The 26878-nt window shown below is 45.0% G+C and overlaps 1 protein-coding gene across 2 annotated transcripts in view, besides 2 other annotated features; it reads left to right on the top strand.

Moving 5' to 3' along the window:
* CRTAC1 (cartilage acidic protein 1) overlaps positions 1-26878 on the top strand; it is a 165622-nt gene that overhangs the window by 45703 nt on the left and 93041 nt on the right. The window lies entirely within an intron of this gene.
* Positions 9154-9755: an enhancer, noted in NCBI's record as "H3K4me1 hESC enhancer chr10:99734921-99735522 (GRCh37/hg19 assembly coordinates)". NCBI's record gives its function as "activates a minimal SCP1, AML or CMV promoter by ChIP-STARR-seq in primed H9 embryonic stem cells {active_cell/tissue: H9 hESC(primed)}" and the evidence as "EXISTENCE:reporter gene assay evidence [ECO:0000049][PMID:30033119]".
* Positions 9756-10358: an enhancer, noted in NCBI's record as "H3K4me1 hESC enhancer chr10:99734318-99734920 (GRCh37/hg19 assembly coordinates)". NCBI's record gives its function as "activates a minimal SCP1, AML or CMV promoter by ChIP-STARR-seq in naive H9 embryonic stem cells {active_cell/tissue: H9 hESC(naive)}" and the evidence as "EXISTENCE:reporter gene assay evidence [ECO:0000049][PMID:30033119]".

Here is a 26878-nt window from a genome sequence, read left to right as displayed (position 1 = left end):
AGCTAGGCTGTCAGAAGGTTCTGGCTCCTTCTTGAGCTGCCTTTTCCTAACCTGGTCCTTCGGCCTTCCCTTTGAACTAGTGAGCTCCCCCATAGCCCTGCCAGTCAATTTCCTTTTCACGTAAGTCAGACAGACTCAGCTTCTGTTGCTTACAATCAAAGAATCCCACTGAGCATCACGTGCCCAAACAAGTTGTCTTTACAGAGGGGTCTGGAAGGTCATGTACCTGGTTCAGTGGTGCTGCCAACCCTCAAAGAGTGCAGGAGTTTTGCATTTGAGATGACCTTGGGAGCCTTGTTTCCACGTCATGCAAGAACACCAGACCCTGTAACCATGCTTCAATTTGGACCCAAAACAACATTACCAGCTCAATCAGCTGGTTATTCACCGAGCTTGGCTACAAATGCCAAAAAGCTTCTTGACTGTTTCCAAAAATAAAATTCAGCTCTGCAGGATGGGGCTCTGCCACCATTGTGCTTATTCCAAATAATGTGGCATGGATTTGCAGAAAATTCTCAAGAGAGGCCCCAAAGTGTCTGGAACAATGGCAGCAACCTTGGGATAAATATCTGGCATCTCTGATGACTGCTCAGATGGGGGAGGGACACTCATTTGGATGGATGGATTCCAATATATTTATTAAATAGCCCATCTCATTATCTAGAAGTCACACTCCATGCTGGAGACACGTTTCCAAGCCTGAGAGCTAGAGTGTTTTAAGAGCCTTTGGAAAATTCTCTACATGCAGTCTGAGACCCTGCCCCACCCCTCAGACATAGCCATGTAGGGATTTTCGCCTTCACATGGGAAGCAGATGAGGTTTAACAAGCAGTGGCTGTTGTCTCTTCCTCTTAAGCAAGATGTGTGTCCTTTGCCCAAGGATGGGCTGAAATCTAAAATAAGAGAACATGTAACATCCATTGGCAAACCTCTGGTTAAAGCCCCTTGCATAGGCATCATGTTTCCTTGCTTCTTAACTTTCTTTTAGATTAGAAAAATATTTGCCATTAGGTTTCCCAAAATAAAAAAATGTGTGTATGCTGTGTGTTATATGCATACGTATTTTTGGATGACACTGCAGGCCCCAGATGGAAACAAGAGAGTGGGTGGAACACACCCTACTTCACCCGCATCTTGATATGGTCACCCGGCCACACCCACACACATAGGCCAGAGGAATAGATGAATCTTCTGTCTTCTACCACTATGCCATTGCCAGGCCTAGGGTCCTGGATCATTTCAACAGTAGAAGAATTCTACTTTCAGACACAAGGAAGAAGAAATGTGGTAGTTCTTGATGTGTCTTTTGATAGAGAAACAAAGGAAGAATGAAGCTCTCAGAATTGATTTCTGTCCCTTGGTGTCTTGAAATTTCTATCTCTTTGTGATCAAAAGAGCACAACCCAATGAGGGGAGGGAGAGGAGAATCTCTACTTTTGGCAGGCTCTAAGACAGTCTTGGATTATTTATTTGTTCTGTAACTCATTTCTGTCAAACATTCTTTTTCTATCTCTTGTCATAAAAAATTGAAATGCTAGTTTTTCAGTAGATGTCTTGGCTTTAACTGTCTGTCTGACCTTGGACAGATTATTTAACCTCTCTAAACCTGTCTTCTTGAATGTAAGCACAGTGTAGGTGCTCACTAAGTATTTATGGGTGAGTGGGATGACTTCTAAGGGCATTCCAGGGCATTCCATAACTCTCTCTGTGGCTTCCCTGGTAACTGAGGAGAGTCTACTGGTGGGCTTTCTCCAAAGGTAGACTTCCTCCCTGTAGTGGGCATCACCATTGCCCTTTGGCATGTTTCATACTTGTTTGGTGCTTATTCTCTAAAATATTGTTTTGCCATTCTCCTGAGCACACTCAGTCACCACGTTAGCATATCAGAGTCATCTTGAGAGTCTAGAATTGAAGGTTCACATGGTTTACCCAGCAGAATTGCTAGCAACTGACCATCGCTAAATGCTGTTGGCTTTTGCTCGTCAAAAGTTGTTTGTTTAAAAAAATTAAAAAGCTGTTTGTTAATTTACTCTGTGTTTTTGAAAATCTTTCCATAGGCAACAACTTTCCCACTTTCTTCAATTCTTAGTGGTCTGTGTCAGGTCCTCCATAACAGGCTAGACCACAAACTTTGTTCAAATGTGATGCTCCTTCAATTCCTATTTTTCAGTTGGCCAGTACCTGAATTTACACAATTGCGGCGCTTCTGGGGTTAATATTACTCTTTTGTGAAGTTGATTTGCGAAGTGTGTCCCCTAGAGGCTCACCCCCTAATCTGAATTGTCAACTGGGGACCGCTAGAGATTGATGATGGGGATTATGATTGTCTACGTGTTGCGCTTTCATCCAATTTTCTGATGTGTTTTGGTAATGATGTTGACAGTTGTGTGAAGATCTGTTACTGAAATTAAAGCAGCAGCAGCAGCATTTTTGAGCTTGATGATTAGATTTGATTAGATCAGAGTGGGTTTTACTTCTCCCTCAGAGTCAGCAGAGATTTACTGTCCACTGACTGATTTAACTTCATGCTGGAAGATGGTTAGGGACATAACTTTCCGCAGAAAAAGAAATGTCAAGGAGTTTTAGACTGAAACCCAACCTTGTTTGACTTTGTGTTGACCTTGAAGGGTCAGAAAGTGTTCGTATTATCAAAGATTCCTGCCTAGACCGCATCATAGAGAAAATAACTCTATCTTGACAGATTTTGGTGGACATTTGTATTGATGAGCATCTTCTAACACTAGCTATCATTTGAGTGAGTCAGAAGCTTTTATGAAATCAGATAAGGTATGAAAGAATAGGATTATGGTTTCTGAATTTTTCTTGCCATTGGCAAGAGGTGAAAGTAGCCATTTATGAGGCTAAGTGTACATGACTTAAAGCCACAGTGAGATGCTGGAAGGGACAGCTCATGTACAGGGATTTCCTGTAATGTGGTAGGTGCAGTTTCACTTTGTATATGAATTCTTAAAATAATCATAACCAGTAATTCACAAAAGAAGAGATGCAGATGGCCAATAGACATGAAAACAATACATGACTTCAACTAAGAATTTTCAAGATGTGGCATAAAATCAGACTCTTGTTTTTATTAACAAAACTGGCAAAAGTTAGGTAGATTATACTACTCAATATTGACAAAGATGTGATGAGATGGACATTTTCATAAACTATTAGTGGGAGTTCAAAAATTTGGGAAGAAATTTGCAAAAGGTACAAAGAGCCTAAAAAATGCACAGCCCTTTTGACTCTGTAATTCTACTTCTATAACTTTGTCCTAGCAAAATAATCAGAAATATAAGGTCAGAAAATTATGTGCAAGGCTATTTGTTGTGCATATTTATAAGAGCAAAAAAACCAGAAGCAACTTTAATATCTGTTAATAACAAAATGGTTAAGTAAATTATGGAACATCAATGTGATGAGATATTATGTGGTCATTAAGAATTCTTTTCAAATAATATTTAAGGACATGGAGAAATATTTATGATATCATAACTAAGGGAAAGAAGCATAATATAAAACTTGATACAGCAGAATCCCAACTTTGCAAAACATTTAAATATTCACAGGAAAGGGATGAGAAGGAAATACACTGAAGTATTAAACGCTATCCTAGGTGGATGGTTTAGAGGTTAATTTTATTTTCTTCCTTACGTCTTTCTGTTTGTTTCTAATTTTTGTAAAATCTGCACACTTTTTTTTATAATCAGGAAAGACTTTTAATGATCATAATTATAGGATCCATAGGGTCACACAAGAATTTTTTTCAGCATTTCAGATCTTCAGGATGAGAACAAGGGGAACAATTATGTGTTTCTCTTCACCTAATTGGGAAAATTTTAGCAGAAATTCCACTGGCTCCAGGTGCCTTATTTTTTCAGCTGTTTGATGATTTCCTGCACCTTGTCAAGAATCACAGGGATTCTGCAGATTCTTCTGTCTGATATTGCAGGGTGGAATTGGAAACATGTTCCTCAATAATTGTCTTAACTGAGAAGGTTTCTGAAATGCGCTTTCCAGAGCTCAGCAACAGATTCATTCTTATTCAGCCGCTCTCCATCCAAGAATAGCAAGGGAGCCAGTGACAACTCTGTGCATGTGTGTGGCACTTAAATCTATGTTTTTAAATATTGGGGGAATACTAGACACCTCCGTGGGGTCATTTTTCCATCTCTTATTTGTGCCAGACTTCTCTGAGCCTCTGCTCTGGTGCATAGGTGCCTCCGTGTCTAAGTTCATGTCAGTGTGATGGAAATTAAAAGCCTTCTTCCTCTACCTCTGAGCTGTGGCATGAGGAGGTTGGACTACATGATCGAATGTCTTCAACTTCAGCCTGGTTTGCTCCTGTGACACTATCACCTCATTAGTCCCAAGCACCCAAGTGTAACGTTTTGTGGAAGTGGATCCCAGGACTTCCTCACAGCCACTACTGATGGTGGATTAAAAGCCACCCTACAGTTAGCAGGTATGGGACTCTTGGAGTGTATAATATAGTATTAGAGGTTTTGGAGGCTTAGAAGCAAACTGTAGACATCTCCCTGATTTAAATGGACCATGTCCAAACTTTGCCCATGTACAAGGGCAGGTCCAAAATCTGCCCAAAACTAAAATAAAAGCAAGTGCATTGTTAAAAACAGCTTCTCAGAACCTACCTTATATGAGGGTGGGTGTGCCAAGTAACAGTCATTGAGCACCGACTGTGTGCCTGGCATTGCCCTGAGCACTTTACATGAATCTTCTAATTTATCCTTAGCAATCCTTTGGAATTGATACTACTGTTTTCTCCATTTTATGAATGAGCAAACAAAGATTTAAGAAACTTTCCTGGGGTTGCTTTAAACTGCAGAGCTAGAATTCAGTCCCAGAGCTTACACAGGCCATTGGACCAGTGTGTCCCAAGCTTGGTTAAAAGAGTGGCCCCGGGCGTTTGTTGAAGAGACAGCCCCCAGGCCCTTGGAGCTTCTCTGACTGAGCGATCTGGGGAAGAACCTGGGAATTGGTAGTTTTACCAAGTGCCCCTCGTTATTTTTATCATCAGGCAAGCTTGGGAGAGATGGTGTTTGACAATACTGCAGTGCTTCTCAGCCCCTGCTGCAGGTTAGAACCATCTGGGGACCCTTCAAAAAAAAATACTGGTGACAAGCTCCACCCCAGAGACATTTGGATTTAATCGGACTGGGGTGGGACCCAAGGTTCAGTAGTATCTTAAAGCACTCCAGGTGATTCTAAAGTGCAGCCAGGGCTGAGAACCACCGCTCTGCTGCCTCAGCTGATTAAAATTAAATCAGCCTGACTTACTCTAAAAAAACACTGGTAAAAGAAGAATCACTCAGTGCCCACCAACTGTCTCCCACTTCCAGCCCAGCAATCAGGGGGACTCATGTAAGGGCCGAAAGAAGAAAAGCAAAATGACCAGCAGCATGTGACATCAGTCCTTGCTTCCATTCACTCTCCAGCTCCTGATGGGACACCAAAGCCTGATGCCCTTAAGGTGCTGCCTAGACCAGAGCTTGGGCAAAGACAAGGATTCTCTTGTTCCTTCCCCACGGTGGTTCGGGTGGGGTATATCGGAATCACACAGAGGGTTTGTTGGAACAGATTGCACGACCCTATCCACACAGGGTCTAACTGAGCATGTCCAGAGTGGGGCTAACACTGCTGGTCAGGAGACCACCCTTCAAGGACCACGCTTTAGCAGTTTGACTATCACGGAACTCAAAAGCCACATAAGCATAAGTATGAGCCCCGCCCTGCTTCCTGGCCAGTGCAAAATAGTGCTCTGGAGCAAGAACTTCTCTGAGGGAGCTTTCAGTTAGGTCTTAGACCCTCTGATCATAACATTTTCAGGGGACACCACTGAGACACATCCACACAGAGTCGAGGACCAGCCCTGCCCCCATCTCCTCACTCAGTCACAGGTCATCACACACACAATTCCAGACAGCAGTGTGAATTCATCAAATCACTGGGCAAGATGCATATGATGCCTGCTAAATGCCAGGCTGTGTTCTAGTGGCTGGAAGAAGAATGGTAGACGAGACAGCCCATATTCTTGCCTCCACAGAAATCTTGTAAGGAACCACCAAACAGACAACAAATAAGCAAGATCATTTCAGAGGGGGTAAGCAATAGGAAGACAGCAAGTCAGAGTGAGTGACAGAGACCATAGCTTTGGACTGGGAGGAGCAGAAAGGCCCTTCTGAAGGGAGGACATTAGAGCTGAGACTTGAATGACAAAAGGAGGTAGCCCTCAAGGACCTGGGAGAAGAGTCCCTATGTCAAGAATGTTGCAAACCTTGAGGAAGCCATCAACTCCAGTGTCATGGGGAGCAAGCAGCTTGTGCAGAAATTCCTAGGGCAGGAGCAAGCTTGGTGCATGGGAAGAACAGAGAGCAAGCAAGGGTTGATATGTGCACAGCAGCCACTTGCGTTTCCTAGCACTAGAAAGTTCTTTACATCTGTCGTCTCATTGGAGTAATGATGTACTATGTAAGATGTAAGAGGAAAGGGGGATTTATTCCCATTCTTTGTATGAAAAAAACTGAGGTGGAGAGGGGGTAAAGGAACGCTACCAAGGTGACAGAGCTGGTAAAAAATGGAGCTCAAAGCAGTGCTTCTGAAGCACTCCTGTGTACACAAGTCACCGGAGACCTTGTTAAAAATGCAGATTCTCATTGGCTAGGTCTAGGAGTGGAGCCTGAGATACTGAATTGGTGACAACCTCCCAGGTGATGTCACTCCTGCTGGCCCATGGGCCACACTTTGCGTAGCAAAGTCTTAGGTCATCATGGGTGCCAACTAGGGCATTTGGTCAGAATTAGGGGGTGAGGGGCTGGTGATTATTTCTGTGATTTGATCAGGTGGACTGTGTTGGAGTTGACCTTCTGGCACTCCACCCAGCAGTCCAGGATCAGAGGCTGAAGTTCTTTCAGATACTGATATAAAACCTCAGGAAGAGGTGGTAAAGGCCTCCCCTCCCCATCAGGAACAGCAGCAGGCTGGAGTCCAGGCTGGTGTGAATCCCTGCTTTGTCTTAGGCACAGCCTCAGCTCAGGCCGTACATACTGATGATCACAGCATATTGGTTCCCTGCCACTCTGATTTACACTCGTGAGGTACTCATCAATTCCAATAGGGAACTTGTTGAGTTATTTCAAGTTTCAGTTTTGATAGCAAAAACCAACTCCATAAAGCCAACATTTCTCAGTTATGTTTCCAAGAATGGCGTATAATTCCTTGCTAACCAGATCTTGTTCCTCTCTGGGTCTCAGAGCTGACGTCCCTCCCCAGGGTTCTCCCAGTCTCAAATTTGAGTTGGTACCCTGGTGAGTTGCTATTATGATTATCCCAGAAAAAAAAATCAGCATAGACTGTAAACAGCTGGCTTTCTTTTTAACAGCAGGAACATCATTGCAGTAGCCACTGTTACCAGAGAGGGGAAAAACTGACAAGACTTGATTTGGGGGACCTTTCACAGTGTCCTGCCCCATTGGGTGAGCAGAGCTGGTCCTAAAAAGAACCCGCTGAGATGCAATTATAGCTCCTGAGCCTTCCTCCTTTCTTGCTCACGTGCCAGACAGTGTTCCTGGAGCTGCCGCTCTCCTCCCCGGCCATAGTATTCCAGACATCACAATTCAGCTCCTGTCATGATGAGCAGCTTGCCAAAGGACTTACAGAACCTGTCACAAAAGATGCCTGAGTGGAGGCCCCTTTATCAATTACCCTGGGCCCTCTTATCTGTCAGGGGCCCACCTGGTCCAGCTGTTCAGAACTTATCCATAAATTCCAGGCAAGCCCCATACTAATTTGGCAGTAAATTGCACATGAATACCAACTGCATAGAAATGCTTAGCAAATACTTCCACTTTTCCTGTGACATCTTGAAGGTCCAGCAAAGACTCAGAGGCTCTGAGGGAATACATACTTCACACCTTTGGACAAGATGATCCCTGGGCCGAAATGAACAAAAATGACTGAGCTAGCCTATATTTGTCTACATTTTATTCAATTCAACAAACACTTATTGAGCTGTATAAAGGAACTTTGCCAATCACTCAAGGAGAAACAAATATATATAAAGTGCAGTCCTGTAATCAAGAAGATTGTAACCTATTACAGTTGAACCTGTAGACACATCCACAGATAACTAGTACGAAAAATAGAATGCGATAAATTCTGGATTAGAGGCTGGGTCAGAGTGGAGTAGGAGAGGATAAATTCTAACTGAAGAAGTCTGGAACAATTTTGTGGAAGCAGTGGCAATGGATCGGTTTGCTCATGAATAGATAGAATTTCAACTGAGGGATGAGCATTTTTAGTAAAACTAAAAATTGCTGCGATGTAGTAAGGTCTTTCCATGTATCCGACACCATTCCAAGTGCTTTGTATGTGTTAGCTCATCTGATCATCTCTTTAACCCCATGAGGTTTGATGCATGTGATTCCCACTTTAACCCCATGAGGTTTGATGCATGTGATTTCCACTTTATAGGTGAGACAGGTGAAGCCTAGCAAGATCAGGAAACCTGCCTCAGGCCAAATACTACCCTATGGGGAGCTGGGATTTGAACCCAGGCAGCCTGGAGCCAGTGCCCATGCTGTTAATTATGAAACACTTTTGCTTCTACATGCAAGATATTTGGTTTTCTTTCTTATTATCCTCACTTTAAAATCACTGATCAACTCTGTTAAGCTTTGTTAGAAGTGGAATGAGCGCAGAGGACCTACTGAAGATGTTTGTTTATTCCTCGCTGTGGGCTTTGGAGCCACCTATAATCAGTGAAGGTCTGGATGAGAGTACGCTGCGGCGGCCTGCCTTTCCGAGCTCTAGATGGCCAGGAACAGGCTCTCCAGGCACGCACCTCCCTGTCCCTGGAGTGTCTTTCTGGTCCTCAGAGGCAGCTAAGCTGTCTCTCTTCCTCTGGGTTTGGGGGCTCCACGTCAGTGGTCTCTATAGGGGCCCGAAGATGTAAGATGTGGTTCGGGGAACGGGCCACACACCAGGTAGATGGTTCCTCTTTCTTCCAAGGCTTCATGACCTCAAGGGGCAGCCGGGAGCTAGCTCCTCATTGGGGGCCCAGGAGCACGCTCACCGAGTGTGCGTAGCTTCCCTGGCAGGTGGAGAGGCTCTTGGCACAGAGGGCGGAGGAGCATTTAGACAGGGCCTCTGTATAGGAGTGAGGGGCTGGAAGCCCAGTCTTCCCTCGTCTCCCCCAGCCCTACCCCCGTGTGAGGCTGTGCAGGCTTGGAGGAAGGGGCGCCTTTTTGTCATTCACAGGGAGAGTCCATCTTAGAACTATGCAGAAGACTGGCTGCCAGTTGTAACAGAAATGGTGCCCCACGTCCTTTAGGAAAAGGTGACTCCATTCCGACTGGGCCAAAATGCCGACAGGGTAATCCTCTTTCTGCTCTTGGATGCCAAGAGATGTTGAGTCTTCCAGCTGCTTCTTCCCTGAAGAAGAAGAAGAAAGCGAGGTCTGCCGGCTCCCCATCCCGCCCCTCCACGCCCCATGCAGCCAGCATCTCTGTGCACAGGGCCCCGGAGGTCTGAAGTCTTTTGAACCCTCCAGCCAGGAGGCGGGTCAGGAACCGGCCCTGGCGCCTCCCGCAGCACCCGTGCTCCGTGAGGGGGCTGAGGACAGCCGCATCAGTCAGCCGGGCCCCGGGTCCCTCTGCGACCTGGGATTGAGCCAAGAGCATTTTGTGTTAAATGCCGACATATAAATTTGTAGACGATCCTTGTGCGCAAATTGGATTCCTTCGCAGGGCCCTTAAATGCTGCCGTTTAGCCAGATTTAACTGTAGGCTCCGGCCCCTCCGCCGCTCCTCCCGGGCCGGCCCTCCACCGCCACCCGGGAATCGATCCCGCGCCAGTCCCTGCCCGCGCTCCGGCCTCCTCCCGCGGGCTCCACGTTCTCCGGTCTCCTCCTCCCCCACTGCCCGCTCCCTTCTCCCCAGCGTCTCCCTCTGCCCGCCTCCCCTTCCCCTCCGTCTCTCCCTCCTCCTGTCTGCGCCGAGGCAGCTGCTTCCAATGCAGCGAGATGCACCAATTCATTCAGCCTCGCAGACTCTTTAAGGTCGTTACTAAATATATCAAGAAGAAGAAAGGGGTCTTTTTTCCTATCTCTGAACAGGGAGCATAAATGCTGGCCTTAGGATCCGAGCCTGTCCTGGCTCCCTGAGTCCAGCTTCTCCGGGCTCCCGGCAGAGGCAGGGGTGACCCCGAGCGGAGGGGCAGAGGGGAAGCGGAGGGGACCCGGGGAGCAGAGATGAAATCCGTTTGATATCTTCAAGGAGTTAAACGGCCCTGGAGAGTCGGAGGAGAAAACAATTTCCACCAAAGCGACTTCTCCTTCTCTAGATTAATATTTTTTCTTTATTTTTGAGGATATTGGGAAGTGTCGAAAGAGGCTGACTTGCCAGTCCTGGATACACAATTCTATTCAGACGCTCTACGCGGTGTTGTCTCTGATTTTTTCCTAACTTGTAAGCAGGTGACCTTGCTGCTTGAGCGGTAACCGGAGGTGCCTGAGTGCACGTGAACCTCAGACTTCGGTGTTGAGATGAGACAAAATGTACAACAAAGTGAGTCCGCCTGTTACGCAGCAGGGGGGGAGCCTGCTGGTTTCATGGCAGCTTCGCTGTACCCAGTCCTCCCTACTACACACCGACAGGCGCTTCCTGGGCGTCTCCCACCCGTCTTCTCTTCCTCCTAATGTGTGTAGGCAGAACAGGCTGAGTTGTGACTTAAGAGAAAACGCCTCCTCCCCATGCAAAAATATCTCCTGCACACAACACAGCATGCAGCGCCCATCCTTTAGAAGTTCTTTGAGGGGAGATAAAAATATAAGTGGTATTTTATCTTAAAATCAAAAGTAGATGAGGTCACCGGAGAATGTGTAGGGCAGTCATTTTCATTTTTAACCTTTTTTTTTTTTTTTTTTGGTATGGGATCTTTTATGAGACAAAGAATGCGATGGCTGTCTCCCCAGGCTGTGTGCACACTATTATAATCACAGAATTCTGCAGTTTTGGGAGGTTCATGAACCCCTAGGGCCTATCCACACACCCCTGACTTCAAAGTAAGAACCATGGGACCAAAGAAAAAAGGCATTTCAGTGACTGTCTAAAAAGAAAGGTCAGTGACAATGGTAAGGAAGGAGTTAGGTGGAGGAGAATATTCTAGAAAAGTTGTCACTGCAGCAGCAGGCCAAAAGGGGTTCAGGAAGGAGGAAGTGGTGCCCATCAGATGCCTCAGAAAGCTCAGAGAACATAAGGGCTGGGAAGCGTTCCCTAGAATTAGAAATCAGCAGGTTGGTAGTGGTGGGGCTCTAGGAGAAAAGTTTCAGTGGGGAAGGGGAGGAAGTTCGATTTTCGAGGTCAGGCAACAAGTGCTTTGGAAATGCAGAGGCTGCTCTGCTCCTTTTGGGATAGGAAGTAAACAAGAAGTCCCCACAGAGGAGTCCAGTTTTGAGATGGGCTGTTGAAACATAAGTAGGAAATCACTAGGCAGAAAAGGGGGCCGGGGTGGGGGGCATTTCAGGCACGAAAAAGAGCATTTCCACAGAGATGATGGCATGGAGGCCCAGGCGTAATTTGTTGGTGTGTGAATTAGGGTGGGACGGAGACAAGGCTGAACAGTGAAGCCGGCCTCAGAGGGCACAGTGGCTGGGGAGTTTGTGCTTTGTCCTGTCAGGCAATTAACAGCCAGGATGAGATATTTTTAACTTACTTTTTTTTTCTGATTCTAAAAGTAATGCAAGCTGATTATAGAAATGTGTTAAAAATATGGAAAATTAGAAAGAAATATACACACACAATTAGTTGGCATTATGGCATATTCCTTCCTTTAGTCTTCTTTCCAGACACTGTTTCGTTACATCTAAGACACCATTGTTTGGGAGCACTTCACTACTTTCTGTGCCTCTGCAAATGCACAATTACACTTGACACAGTGCTTCTTATCAGAGGGAGTGAGACACATTCCATTTCAGAGAGGTTAAATTGTGAAAAAAAAAATCCTTGGAATTCCATCAATGTCTTGGAATTGATGAAATAAGGCTACGTTGTTTTTTGAACTTGAGTTCTCATCGTATTTCAAATTTTGTATCTTGCTTCTTGACTCAGTATTATGCCACAATAATTCCCCAGGTTATAAAAGCATTTACAAAAACAATTTTTATGGCTGCATAATATTTCATTATGTGGATATTCTATAATTTATGCAACCATTTCCCTATCAATAGATACTACACTGATTTATTTTTTGCTACTATATATAGTATCTCAGTGAAAAACACTGCATAAACTTTTTTATTTTTTTGTTTTCAACATTTTATTCAGAGATAATGTAGTAGATTCTGATGACTTTATGTTGCCTTGGCATCCATTTCGAGTACAGGTTTAACTTTCTCGTATCAGAGGCAGAGCCCAGTTTCCAGTCCTACACCACACCCAGAGGGCGTGAGAACTTAGAGGTGTCTCTCCCACCTGGCAGACCGGGCTCCCTGCTTTCCTGTAGCTGCTTGTAATGGACCATTCAGGCATTTGCCTGTGAACTTGAAGTGACCCACACCCTGTTCCCTTATAACATACACTGCTAGTTGTGATGTGCACTCTCTCTGTCTGACTCTTTTTGTTCCTGCCTCCTGTGACCTGGAAACAGAGGACTGCCCTCCTGACTCATGGTACTCTCTTTGCTCAGGGTCTGGAAGTAAAAGGTCTTTGAACTTGTTTTCTGTTCTGGTGGTGCATTGTACCTTCCATCTGAAGAACCAGGGGCTGCCCCAGGCTGGGTTTTCTCTGGGCATATGGTTAGGCTCCCAGTGTAAGTGTGATGGTCAGGCCAGACAAGAGCCACAAGGATGTCTGCCAGTAGAAACAAGTTTCCCGGGCGAGGGACCCTGGTCTCAGTTTAGACAACTAGGCATTTGGCTGTCTTCCAGGTAAAAGAAGTATCCCGTAAAAGGCACGCTGGACACGCCATGTCCAGCTCCCCTGCGTTTCCTCTTAGGGCAGAGTTACTAGCCACTCTGGTTACTGAAACCTTAGTGTAGCTGGGGGCTCTCAAAACAGATAAATGTACACCTCAAGCCAAACATTGATATGGTGTAATAAGACGTATCTTTGAAAAACATGCATCACACTTCCCACCTCTCCAAGGTATATAAATAAACCATTGGTGAACTTAGCTGCAGCTCTGTGTTCAATCTTGTAGCTTTAAAAAAACAAAATTGTGGTAAACTATGCATAACATAAAATTCCCTTTCTTAACCATCTTTAAGAGTACAGTTCAATGGCATTATGTGCATCCACGTTGTTGTGCAACCATCATCACCATCTGTCCACAGATCTCTTTTCATCTTTCCAAACTGTAACTTTGAACCTATTAAACACTCACTCCCCATTCTCTCCTCGCGCCGGCCCCTGGCAGCCACCATTCAACTTCCTGTCTCTATGAATTTGACTACTCTACCTACTTCTTATAAGTGGAATCATACAATGTTTGCCTTTCTGCGGCTGACTTATTTCATTTAGCATAATGTCCTCAAGGCTCATTCCCTGTAGCATGTGTCAGAATTTCCTTCCTATTTAAGGCTGAATAATATTCCATTGTGTGGATATACCACATTTTGTTTATGCATTCATCCATTGGGGTGCATAAGCTTTTATCTGAATCTTGAGCTCTCTAGAATAGATTCCTAGTCATCAATCAAAAGGTATGAAAAATATGTTAGACTTTTAATATATATCGTGAAATTGCTTTCCAAAACCATTTTACAAATTTTTACTGCCTCTATCAGAGTATAAGTGTGCTTGTCAGCATTGGATATTATTATTTGGTTTATCTTTGTTACTTTGATACTAGCGATGTAGCATGTCATTGTTTTAACACACACTTCTTTGATCATTCCTAATGAAGGTAAACTTTAAAAGAAACGCTTCATTAGCTGGGGTGTGTTTCCTCTTTGTAAATTGTCTCTTTATGTACTCTGATCATTTTCTTATTAAAGATGTGTTTTACTTATTACTCTATAGGCACTTGTTATAGATGAATGATTCATTCAAACAATCACTGACATTCTTGTAGCACTGCCCGTCTGTGTCAGGCACTATCTAGGCATTGGAGAGACTGCTGCAAACCATCAGACAAAAATCCCTGCCCTCATGGAGTTTACCTCCTAGAGAGGGAGAAAGATGTTACAAAAGATATTAATATGTCAGATGGCATAAGTGCTAAGGAGAAAAGTTAAAGTGGGAAAGGGAGGTAGAAGTGTCAGGAGTGAGTGTCAGGGAAAGCTTCTCTGAGGAGTTTGAGGCAACCCGAGGGAGGGAGCCCTGTGGTTAGCTGGGGAGAGCTGGCCTGAGGCAGGAACACGGTAGCCTTCTCTGCTGGAGCAGAGTGAGGAAGCAGAGAGGAGTGACAAATAAGAACTGAGTGCAGCCACAGCAGCAGACCACGCTGGCCCTGAGGACAGGTTGCTCAGTCTGGCTTCTTTCTCTGAGTGAGAAGAAAGCCGTTAGGAGAAGGATTTTGAGCCAAGGGGTGACATGATGCGACTTGCACTTTAAAAGGATGCTCTGATTTTCATGTTGAGAATAGACTGAAGGAAGGAAAGGGGGAAGCTGAGAGCTGTCAGGAAGTTCTTGCAGTAATCCAAATGAAAAATGATGGGCTTAAACCAGAGATTAGCAGAGTGTGAGAAATAACCATGTTCTGTGTATTAATATATTGTAAGGTAGAGCCGACAGGATTTGCCAATAGGAATTGGGTATGGGATGGGAGAGGAATCCAGTTAGACTCGGAGCTTTTGGCCTGAGCACCTGGAAGCTAGAAGTTGGGAAAGGAAAGACAGCAGGAGTAGGTCTAGAAGAGCTACTGGGAGCTCAGTTTTTGATAAGTTAAGTTTGAAATATCTATTAAACATTCAAGAGCAATGTTGAGTAGGCAGTTGGATATATGAGTCTGGAGTTCAGGGAAGAGGTCTGGGGTGGAGATATAAATTTGAGAGTTGTCAGCGGGTAGATGGTATTTAAAGCCCTGATACTGTGTGAGGTCACCAAGGAGTGAAAATGGATGGGAGAGGAGATACCCAATGACTAAGCCTACTGCCTCCAGCGTCAGCAACCATTTGCACCCTTTGCTGTGGTTTTGGCATTTTGAGGGTTACCAAGCTGGGAGTAGGTCTGGGTGGGGAGATAAGGCATGATCAGATCTGTGTTTCTGATCAATGGCTCTGTGGGGTCGTCCATGGTCTATCTCATCACTCCTGAGCGTGGAGGGATTATAAGAGCTTCCTATCTGAGGTCCCCAGCAGGCAATGGTTAATGTCTCAGATTTCCATGGTTACATTTGTCCAAAGATCAGCTAACTTTTAATCTCAAGAGTCATCATCAACAAGCAAAGCACATTGGCAGCCCTTTGATATTGACAGGGAAAAATGCAGACTTGGGAGAAAGAGAGGAGGAGAAAGAGAAAGGAAGGGCAAGGGGCCCAAAGGAAGGCTCGGGCTGGAGTGGCTGCCCTGTCCCCACAGGCTGGCTCCTTCTTTACAGTAGTGATTGTCAAGGGGCTGGGAGGGGATGGAGCATCAAAACACCTGAGAGCTTTGCCAATCTACTCTTCCCTGGCTCCCAAGTCCCCTGACCCCAGGAATTCTAGAAGCTCCTCCTCCCCCAGTTGAGAAGCCTCACTTTCAAGGGTGAATACACTCTTGGATTGGAGCTGGGATGGTACAGGCATCGTTGGCCAAAAAAGGTGCCTATCAACATGTGACTTCTGCTGCTGCTTGAAGACATATCAGTGTTAAGAAGGGAGTGACCATATAATTTGTCACCCAAATGAGGGCACTTTTGACATGGGGGGGAAAGGAAAGCAAACCAACTGAGACTGTCCTGGGCAAACTCTGGTATTAAGACCACCAGCAGAGCTCCAAATGTGACTGAGAAATTCCAGTATCAGCATCACCTAGAGATATGGTTTTAAAAATAAATCTCTGAGCTCATCTCCAGATGTACTGGCTCAAAATCTTTGGGGATAGGACCCACGGTCTGCATTTTTAGTGAGCACCCGCTAGTGTAGGAATTCTCTCTTTGTCCCATCATCTCTATTCCTTCCGCAAGAGGTGATTCATGGTCTTTTCAGACAAGGCTTCAGGAAGAAGGAAGAGCTGCTGGTTGAGAAAGATCATTTCTCCTGCAGTAGGGTGGCCATCCTATTTCTAACATGTCCTAAAGCTGGGGCGGCACTGCCTTCCTGGGGAATTCAGCCTTGCTGTGTGTTCAGGACAGTCAATTCCTTATTTCCTTCTCAGACTCTGGCCTGCCCCATTTACCCCGACTAGATCCTGGGCTGCTGCAGTAAAATATAAAGAATTGCAAGCTGGGCGTGGTGGCTCACACCTGTAATCCCAGCACTTTGGGAGGCGGGCAGATCACAAGGTCAGGAGATTGAGACCATCCTGGCTAACACGGTGAAACCCCATCTCTACTAAAGATACAAAAAAAATTAGCCAGGCATGGTGGCACGTGCCTGAAATCCCAGCTACTTGGGTGGCTGAGGCAGGAGAATCGCTTGAACCTGGGAGGTGGAGGTTGCAGTGAGCCAAAATAGTGCCACTGCACTCCAGCCTAAGCGACAGAGCGAGACTCTGCCTCAAAAAAACAAAAACAAAAAGAATTGCTCCTCTGTGCACACCCAGGACCTTAAGGGAGCAGCAGAATTACTTCCTCAGATGTCAACACCTTGGCAAGTGTCCTTCCCACAAGCCAGCATCGTTCCCCTTTCATAATCCATTCTGGCTCTGTCATCTGTGAATTTAAAACCTTTTTGAGCTTCATTTATTTTTTAAGCCTGTTTTCTCTTCTTTGGATTGCAAATCCCATAAATTTCCTACCTGTTGAATGGTGTATCCTTTATTTGTCTAAATGCCAGCTCTTTCTCCTTGCCCAGATCTCAGACTCCTGAAAGACGGAAGACAAAGAATGCCCCCGGGAAGCCATGTGTACCTTGGATGTACCTTTCCTTATATGGCACTTCTGTTTCAACAATCACTGGGTTGAAAGGGACCTTGAGTATAGTTAAATGGAATTTTTCCAATTCTACCCATCAGACCCCTCCTTTCCTTATTTCTTCCCAATCTGCTTAATACACTCAGTGAGGGAGCACTTACTACTTCCAGAAGCAACCAGATCCAACTTTGCAGAATGTTTTTTTTTAATGTTGTTTAAAAATCAGTCTCCCCTAAGATAGGATGATTCATGTGGTAATGGATTAGAGTTGGAGACAGTGTGAACATAATATAGATACAGATGGTTACATATAGAAATATTTATAGATAAATGTCTATACATGGGTTAGTATACACACATATATTTCCTTGATCTGTCATCTCAGAGGCCCTAGAAGCAACTCACACTCCAGTATCAACAAGCACACCTAGCCCCCAGATCTTGGTTTCTAATACCATTCTCCAGCAAAAGGAAACAAGGTTCCTTGGAGAAATGGCTGATTCTAGGAATGGGACAAGAAATATACAAAGTGAGCCTGGAGCATCTGGTAGTGCAGACAGTAAGGAGGTGCTTGAAAAGCCGCCATGATGGGATGAATCAAAGAGACAGAGGAGCTAACTGAAAGAGCTCCCAATGGCTAAAGCTGCAGCAATTTGAGCAACAACATAAATAAAGTTGTATTGGATTATAACCTAAAGTACAAATAAATATCAATGAAGCTATACTGATATAAATAAATGATTGTATAAATAAATAAATGAGGGAGAATAGACAAATCTCCCAGATAGAAGAATTCCAAATAATTGATGTCGATACACCACCCCAGAGGAGCTGAAGCAAAACTCCCTACTCCTGCGTAGGTGCCGCATAGTGACTTCCTTCTGAAGCATGTAGGATGTCGGGGGGGGGGGGGTGACTTTACAATGGAGAAACACAGCAAACACAGCTTCAGCCAGGTGATCAAGGTCAACATCAGCAGGGACAAGTCATGTTGAGAGTGTGTGCCCTGGTTATGATGAGATGAAAATGGCACGGTGCTTCTGTGGTCTTCCTCCCAAAAACCCACTAACCCCAGTCTAACCCTGAGAAAAACATCAGACAAATCCCACTGAGGGACATTCTGCAAAAATACCTGACCAGTACCCCTCAAAGCTGTCCAGGTCATCAAGACCAAGGAAAGTGAGAAACTGTCATGGCGAAGAGGAGCTAAAGAGCTATGACAATTAAATGTAACGTGGTATCCTAGGTGGGATCCTGGAACAGAAAAGGGACATTAGGGGAAAACTAAAGAAATCTGAATGAAGTGTGGATATTAGTAAATAATCATATATTGATACTGGTTCAGTAATTGTGACCCATGTAACATACTAATGTAGGATGTTAATGATAGGGGAAACTGGGCAGGGCATGTGTGGGAACTCACTATACTACCCTTGCAATTTTTCTGTAAACTTAAGACTATCCTAAACTAAAATGTGCACTTAAAAAAGAAAATCAGACTGGACACAGTGGCTCATGCCTCTAATCCCAGCACTGTGGGAGGCTGAGGGGGGCAGACCACTTGAGGCCAGGTGTTCAAGACCAGCCTGGCCAACATGGCAAAACCCGGTCTGTACTAAAAATACAAAAATTAGCTGGTGTAGTGGAGTGGCGCATGCCCGTAATTAGCCACGTATAGTGGCACATGCCTGTAGTGGCTACTCAGGAGGCTGAGGCATGAGAATTGCTTGAACCCAGGAGGTGGAGGTTGCAGTGAGCTGAGATCATGCCACTGCACTCAAGCCTGGGTGATGGAGTGAGACTGTCTCAAAAAAGAAAGAAAATCAGCTTTCCCTACCTATGTAGTGGCCTTGGCTCTATCCTTGGCCTGAGTCAACTCAGAAATGACCTAGAACAGGCCAGCCTTATGTCCCTCCAGGCTGCTCCCAAGTGGCAGCCATCACAATCACCTCTCCCCTGCCCCATCTGTCATCTCCTTTCCAAGTCAGGTATCTCCACCTCCATCAGAACCTCTGAATCCTGCTTTCAGCTTCTCTCACTGACTAGACCACCCTTCTTCAGTCACAGCTCAGTTCGACAACTGCCTGCCCCAGTTCACTGAGGAGCCCAGAATTGAACATGACACTCTGAGCATGGCTGCACAGCCCAGGGAAAAGCAGGCCTGTCACTTCCTTCAGTTCATTACACATGTCTCTATTAATATAGCCCATAGAGGCTAAAATGACTTTACTTTAGGGAGCAGCCACCTCACATGAGTATCTCCAACTCAACTATCCAGTTTAAAAAAAAAAACAACAACTCCATTACAATCAGTATAGAGAATAACTTTCCACAAAGTAGGAGCTTACCAAAAAAGAAGAAAGAAAGAAAGAAAAAGCAAAGGGTTGCCTCTGGCGGTAGTAAGTGTTCCAACATTGGGAGTATTCAAGTACATCTGGCAGCTACAAAAGAAAGGGGAGATTTCATGGGTGGAAATGAAAAAGGGGGTTCAATCCAATGATGTTTACAGTCCCCTGGACAAGTTACTTAACTGCTTTTGCCTCAGTTTCCTCATCTTTAAAATGAGGATACTAATAGAACCTACTTCATAGGATGCTGGAAATTAAGTGAATTAAGTGTTTAAAGGCACTTGGGCTGAGTTGGCACACAGAGAGTTCTATACAAATGTTTGCTATTATCTGCTATTATTTTAATATTTGTTCTGAGGGTAGAGACTGTCCAAGAAGAGGACCTTCCACGAGCCTGTGGTCAATCACTCCTGACTACAGGTCTCTTTTTGATCTCAGCTCTGACACCCAGCACTCTGGCTTTCTTTCCCAGTTTTATGTCATGTGCTCATTTGATCAGCCAGCCCATCAGCGTCACCTTCCAATTCATCTGTGCGCATGTTGAATAGAAGGAGAGAGAGAGCACAGCCCAGTGGCAAGTGTGATGGGGTGATAAGGCTGGGTCTCCTACCAGCTGGGCTGGTGTCATGCCAAGTAGAATGAAATGAGTAGAATGAAATGCCCTCCTTCTCGGGACACCAGATTAGTCTTACCACAAATCATGACAAGCGCCTTACATATGCTAATGACCAACTTACTTTGGTTTTAAAGACTGATCATTTCAGGAACATCAAGGTAAATGATGGGCTCAGTAGCTATCGAGAAAGAAGTTAGAGGTGCTGACTTCTGAACTTAATTAGACACCTGTGCCCTTTATACGGCCTAATAAGGTCAGGCGAATACATTCAGCGTTAATAACATCATCAGCACTGTGTGGTCGGCAAGCCTTCCCAAAGTCAATAAGTCAAGTTTTTGCGGCTCAGAACATGTGTCTTCTGTTCACACTCAAGCTTGTTTCTTACGTGCCAACAGCTGGTGCCACATCTGGAAAGGCTGTTTCTGCTGTGGCTTTTCTCCTATGAGTGTTTTATGGGATGCCCCACCCCACCTCAATCTTTTTAAGAGAAAAGGGCTCATTCATTCATTCTCTGATGGCCTGTCAAGCGGCAACTCCTCTGCATTGCTGCAGGGAACCCACGTGAATAAGACAAACTCACACTGCAGGACAGTGGTCCTCAAACATTACTGTGCAGAATAACCATGGAGGAGGGGGTGCTTAGGCTGTCATTTCTCACATGCTTCCCCCCACCATGTGATTCTGATGTAGGTGATCTGAGGACCACACTTCAGGAAATACTCATCTTAGGGCTTTTAGGCCCCGACAAGCCACCCAGCGTAATGCACTGGCTCATTGGTATAATTAGCAAGTAGCTCATTCTGTCTTGGATGAGGATCAGAGTGGTTTCAGGTGGTTGTCTGATCTCCAGGTAGGAGAAGGAGGAAAGGATGTGCTGGAAAGAGGGGACAGCACAAGCCAAACTGTGGAGCCCTGAGACAGCGTGGTAGGTGGGGCGAGTGTAGAAAGCATATCAAGATCTAATTTTGAAAGGACATACATTTAAGGTATGAGTCCTGGAGACAGACAAACCTGGGTTTGAACTCCAGCTCATTGCTTGCTACCTATGTGTCCTTACACAAGTTACACAACCTCTCCGAGCCTCAATTTCTTCTTCTGTAAAAGGCAACGACCTACATCTACCTCTCAGGGCTGAAATGTTTAAAAAGTAAATAAATATCAATACATGGTGTTTACCAAAGCACCTGCAGCAATGTAGATGCTGCTAATAAAATGATGGCTACAAATAAAAATAGTACTAACAAGCAATAACAATCAAATAAGCATTATACTACCTTCCTGAGGAATTTCTATTTTTTTATAGGCTGTGAGTAACCATCAGAGTTTTAAAAGCAGAGGTCATGTTTCATTTAGTCAGTCAATAAACATTTATTGTACACCTACAATGTGCTGGGCTGTGCCAGGCCCTGAAGCTGGTGAGGTTTCCGTTTGAGAAGGTTGGCTCTGGAGGCAAGAGACCATCACGGACTGTTGCAATAGTCCAAGCCAGTGGTTCTTAAAATTGAGAGTGCATCAGAATCACCTGGAGAACTTGTTAAAACCATGGATGGCTGGGCCTCATCCTCAGAGTTTCTGACTCTAGAAGTCTGGGGTGGGGCCCAAGAAATGTGAATTTTTAACAAGCCCCCAGGGGATGCCAGTGCTCCTGGTCAGAGACCACACTTTGAGAACTACCAGTCCAGGAAAAAGAAGAGGACATCAAAACAAAGATGACACAAGCACCAAGTAGGGAGGGTTGGGACGCCGGTTCTAAGCAAGGTTTTAGGGGTGCACTGGACAGGAAATGATGACAAAGGACCCAAGGACACTGGGGCCAGGCTGCTTCTAAGTCTGGCCTCGGGCTTTGCTTGTGCCTAGATTTCAGACACAACTTTGGGGTCCTGCTAGCCAACAGTCTATGGGGGAGAGGAGGAGCTGCTGTTGTGTCGCCTGGCTGTAATTTTGGAACCTTTAGTCTCATCATCCCAGCTAGGACTGGGTTTCTCAGTGCAGTCTCTTTTATCTCTATGGATGTTCAGAGAAGAAGTTTTGTTTTTTTTGTTTTTTGTTTTTGTTTTGGTTTTTTTTGCTATTCTTTTCCTCCTGGCATGTTGATGCCACCGAGATGCGCGGGTACCATTCTGAAAGAGTGCCCGGGGTGTGTACTGAATTTCAGCCCTGGATAATTTAATGCGCGGTGACAGAGAGAGCAGATGTTGTTTGGATTCATGTGGAACTCTCTGCCTTTTCTATTTTCTGTACCGAAAGACCGCAGAGCCTTGCTCAGTAGCGGCCCCTGAATTCCCCACCTATAAGAACCTCATGGCACCAGTAGCCCTGGTCCCCACGGCATTGCCAAAGCTCCTTGTGAAACCCAGTGGAAAATTGGAATGTTTCTGCCAGTCTTCAGAGCATCTGTTTCACTTAAAGCCCTCCACAACTCGAGTTGTTACTGAATTAAACATCGAAACAAACAACAATCAGTAGCCTAATAATATTATGTTCTGAAATGTGTTCTTTAATAATGACTGTGAAGCTCTTCAAGGGAGGAATAAGGCTGTGTGTGCACTAAACGGTGATCTGCATTAATTCCTTTACAGCTGCTGGTTTTGAAAAATGGTTCTGGGTGTTTCTTACTGACGCAGTGTCCTGTTTTCTGTGGATCAGAAACTTCGAGGTAGTTGGCTGTGATCTCATCCCTTAAAGTCTTATTCAGCAAGGCTGCTTCAGATCTGCTCACCTTCTCCCTCCCTTTTTTCTGCCTGGAGTGTTGACTTAGAAACTGGCAGACAGCCCCAACCCTCGTGACCTGAGACCTATGCACAGACAGGCACCGGATGAAGAAGGAAAACCGCGAGCATAGAGGCTGCACATCTGAGAACAGGGATTTGCTGGGCTCCTGAGCACAGTGATGTTCCACGGCTTTCTGAAGAAAGTTAAAGACATAGAAACTGTCTTCTGGGATCTGTGTTCTAAAAAAGACACCTCTAAAAAAGAGAGCAGACATAAAGGAGACACAAGCACCAAGTACGCATGGAAACTCACCAGTTACTGTTAAAATTAGACGCTAGCCTGAAGTAGGTGCTTATCCTAGAGGAAGGAGTGGGATCAATGCATGGAGCATTGGTCTTGAACTCCTAGCTGCAAGCAATCCTCCCACCGTGGCCTCCCAGACTACTGGGGCTTTATAGGCATGAGCCACTGCATCCAGTCAATGAATGGAACCTTGGAAGTCTATGTTTAAATTGAGTCCAGAATTCTCTTCCTTAGCCATCACCAACCTAAGAGGAGAAAGAACTAGAAAAGAGTGTATTTGAGCCTTGGGGCTTAGGGTCATAAGGCCCTATAGAGGTTAATTTCTCCAAGATCCTGTGTCTTGCTCGGTCTCCTCCCTGTTCACATGCTGAGTCTCTCCCCTCCTTTCACTCTGACCCAAGATCCAGACTCGTAATTTGTGTTTTCTAATATAGCTCATATATTTTGGTTGATTTTTTTAAAAAATTATATTAAAAAGTTTTAAACATATACAAAAGTAGACAGAATAGGATAATGAAACCTCTGTAATTTCTGTGAGTTTTTCATGACGTTTTCCCCCCTAAGTAATGATGTCCTGGGGTGCAGTGTTGTTATACTTCTTGGAAGTAACAAAAGATGAGAAAAAGGATAGGTTGTTTGGGGATAGAATATCATGTTGTTAAGAGAGAAAGAAGATAGAAGTTACAAGTTCTGTTGACTTTCATCTTCTCCATAGGGTTGGGGGTGGGGTCTTCAAGCAGGTAGAACCAATAACCTGTTAAGGAAACTCCAGCCTAAGGCAGGTGAGGCTCACACGTGGCCATTACAAGACCATTCTCAGGCTAGTGTTGCTAAAATAAAATTAAAAAAAAATTACAAGACCAGTTGCACACAATGACACGATGGTCCTGGAAAATGGGGCAGCCAGGGAAGAGAACAGGAAAATTATATTTCAAACATGAAGAAAAAAAGAGTGGATCTGAAAATTAAAGAACAGTGAGTTCAAACAAATGGCTTATACATTTTTAGGACATAGTGTGGGGATCAGGAGCTAACACTGGCTGCCTAAGAATAATCTGTACACACTACCCTTGTTTCCCTGCAAGGAGGCATTTGGCTGGTAGATTGGCAGGATGCTGTAGACATAGTTTATTTTTGTTTTAGCGAAGCAGTTAACAGTCTTTCTACACATTTTACATTGAATATGTTGACCCATAAGCCAGATGATCATTCTCTTAGCCAGAATCATGCCCCAAAGGTGGATTCTAGAGCTGGAAGAAAGGCTCTGTCCAGGGTCCTGCCTTGTTGAACCCGTTTTTATTAATCACTCAGCTAAAGACTTGGAGGGCATGCTAATCAGAATTGTAAAAGGCAAACCAAGACCATAGATGGGAGAATAATGATTCAACATTTGGAGAGGAAAAGATTTATTATGTAAGCAGTTAATTTATCATAGATACACACGTGTGTGTACAGAGAGGCCATCATGGAAACATGTGCTATATATACACACATGCATATGTATGTATGGAGGCATGTGTCCTTCATTTTCCAAGAGGGTTTCCAGTTTGACTTGGAGGAGGCTGGTGTTTATATGATGGTCTCTCCTTGCTGTATAGAAAAGATACAAATATGTGATGCTGCTGACAAGAGGGGCTACAATTTATTGACCATCTATTAATACTGTGTGCCAAACAATGAAGGAGGCTGTACAGAAAAGTTACAGCGGGGCTGGGACTGCTGTCCCCAGGGCTGAGACCGCTATCCCCAGAAAGACCTGCTTGCAAGGTTGCCCTTTGGCTGATGTCTGGGAACTTCGGGAGCATTCCTACCATCCCCAGAACTGATGCCAGGGGCTCACTGTACCTAAACTGTTTATCCATACAATGTGGTTCATTCTGAACACCTGTTTTCTTTCTGGGAGACGGTAATTTTAGTACATGCTAGGCAGAGTGTGCCTATGGGGCCAGCCCCAAGTAAAAACCCTGGGCACTGAGTCTCTAATGAGCCTTCCTGGTAGACAACATTTCACACATGTTGTCACAACTCGTTGCTGGGTGAATTAAATGCTGTCTGTGTGACTACTGGGGAAGGATGTTGTGCCAAACCCCTATTAACCTCAATAGGGAAGGCACCTGGTTCAAGAAGCTGAAGAAGAGATCTAGAGCCAGCAAATGAGACATGGGGTTTTATTAGGGGCTTACATACAGAGGAGAGAGTCCAGTGGCAGTGGGCTGGACAACATATCCGCCTTACCTATGGCCCAGTGGCGGTGAGTTGGACAGCATAACCACATGGCCGAGTGGCAGGGGGCCAGGCAGTAAAACCACACACCTTGCAAACAGCATGCAGTTTATATAGCATTTTTACTTAATACCCTCCCCTTAACAGCCTCCACCTGGCCACCTTCATCCAACCCAAAACTCAGGGCCTCAAGGCCCTGTACAGCCCATGTTCCATGGAATGAGCCAGGAGCTCAGATATTCCTTATAGACAAGGAATGAATTTTCCAGCTGGGCACTCCCAGATTCCCTAGCTCAGGACACACATTCAGGTGCATGTGCCACATGGTCATTCTAAGTTGTGCTTAAGTTGTTGCTGTCAGGTGTGTTTACCCTGCAGCAGACTCTTGGAAGCTTGTGCCTGGTGACCCCACATGCCTTTTCCCTTTGCTTATTTTTCTTGCTATTTTTTAATTTAATAATCTTGGCCAGGAGTATGATTCTATGCAGATTTGTGTGTCCTCCCAATGAATCATTGAGTCTAGGGGTGGTCATGGGGACCCCGATCCACCTGAATATGTGATACTCATCATACCATTTACTTATTACTGGTAACTCACAGACCTGTTACTTGAACCCAGGTCTAACTGCAAAGGCTGGCTTGTCCCACAGAGTCTCATAATGGCCGGCAGCTCTTTCACAGTCGCTGCTGCTGCAGGCCTGACACCTGAACGGGTAGCGCTCAGATTTCCAGAGTGCCCATGTCTTGTCTGTCTCATTGTCTTCTGGGATGAGAATAAACCACCGAGCAGATGGCTTTAAAGAAGCAGGGAAGGGGTAGAGAGTGGACCTTATTTTTTAGGACCCGTGAAATTTATCCCCATTAGTTTCATCCTGGTGGATTCTCTCTGGCCCCTGGGAGAGCAGGTGCTTGTATTTTCTGGCAAAGAAAGTGTGTGTGAGCTGATCAGGGGTTAAGGACTAAAGTTGGCTGTGGCCATTATAACCTTGCTGGTTGGCCACCAGCCAGTCACCCTTTCCTTTTCCTATCAAGTAAGAAAGGGTGTGCTCCAAAACCCCTAAAAAGTACAAAACCAATAGTGAACCCTAATATTCTCTATGGACTCAAATGATGTGTCAGTGTGGGGTCATCACTGTAACAAATTAACCACTCTGGTAGGGGATGTCAACGATGGGGGGTAATGTGGGAAATTTCTGTCCTTCCTGCTTAAAAAATAAAGTCTGTTGGTTAAAAAACAAAAAAACAAGGAGATTCACTAGCTCTACAAGTATGGCTTAGGGTATGGGTCAGGGCAGTGAGAGATGGCCACTTCTTCAAAGGATGACTAATTTCTAACATTCCCCACTGCTTCTCCATTAAATGCACTGAGGTATCTTTGAGAGAGATGACATTGTCCCTTTCTTTTGCCAATTGGCATGTGATGCACCCACCCTCTCCCCCAGCCTGAGAATGTACAGAATGCCCAGTGCTGTTTTTAAACTGCTTCCTTCACCTAAGGAGCCCTGGGGCTGAGGGAGCCAGGAGGTTACTGTGGAACTACCCTTTTACCCTGTGTGACTCTGTTGGGAAATGATGTTGTACCAAACTCCTATTAACCTCAGTAGAGAAGGCATCAGGTTTGAGAGGCCAAAGAAGAAACCTAGAGCCAGCAAACGAGATGTGGG

This window comes from Homo sapiens, chromosome 10 (genome assembly GCF_000001405.40).
Source record: "Homo sapiens chromosome 10, GRCh38.p14 Primary Assembly".
Lineage (NCBI taxonomy): Eukaryota > Metazoa > Chordata > Mammalia > Primates > Hominidae > Homo > Homo sapiens.
The sequence above is the reverse complement of the archived record's forward strand: the minus strand, read 5'-3'. Positions and strand labels throughout refer to the sequence as shown.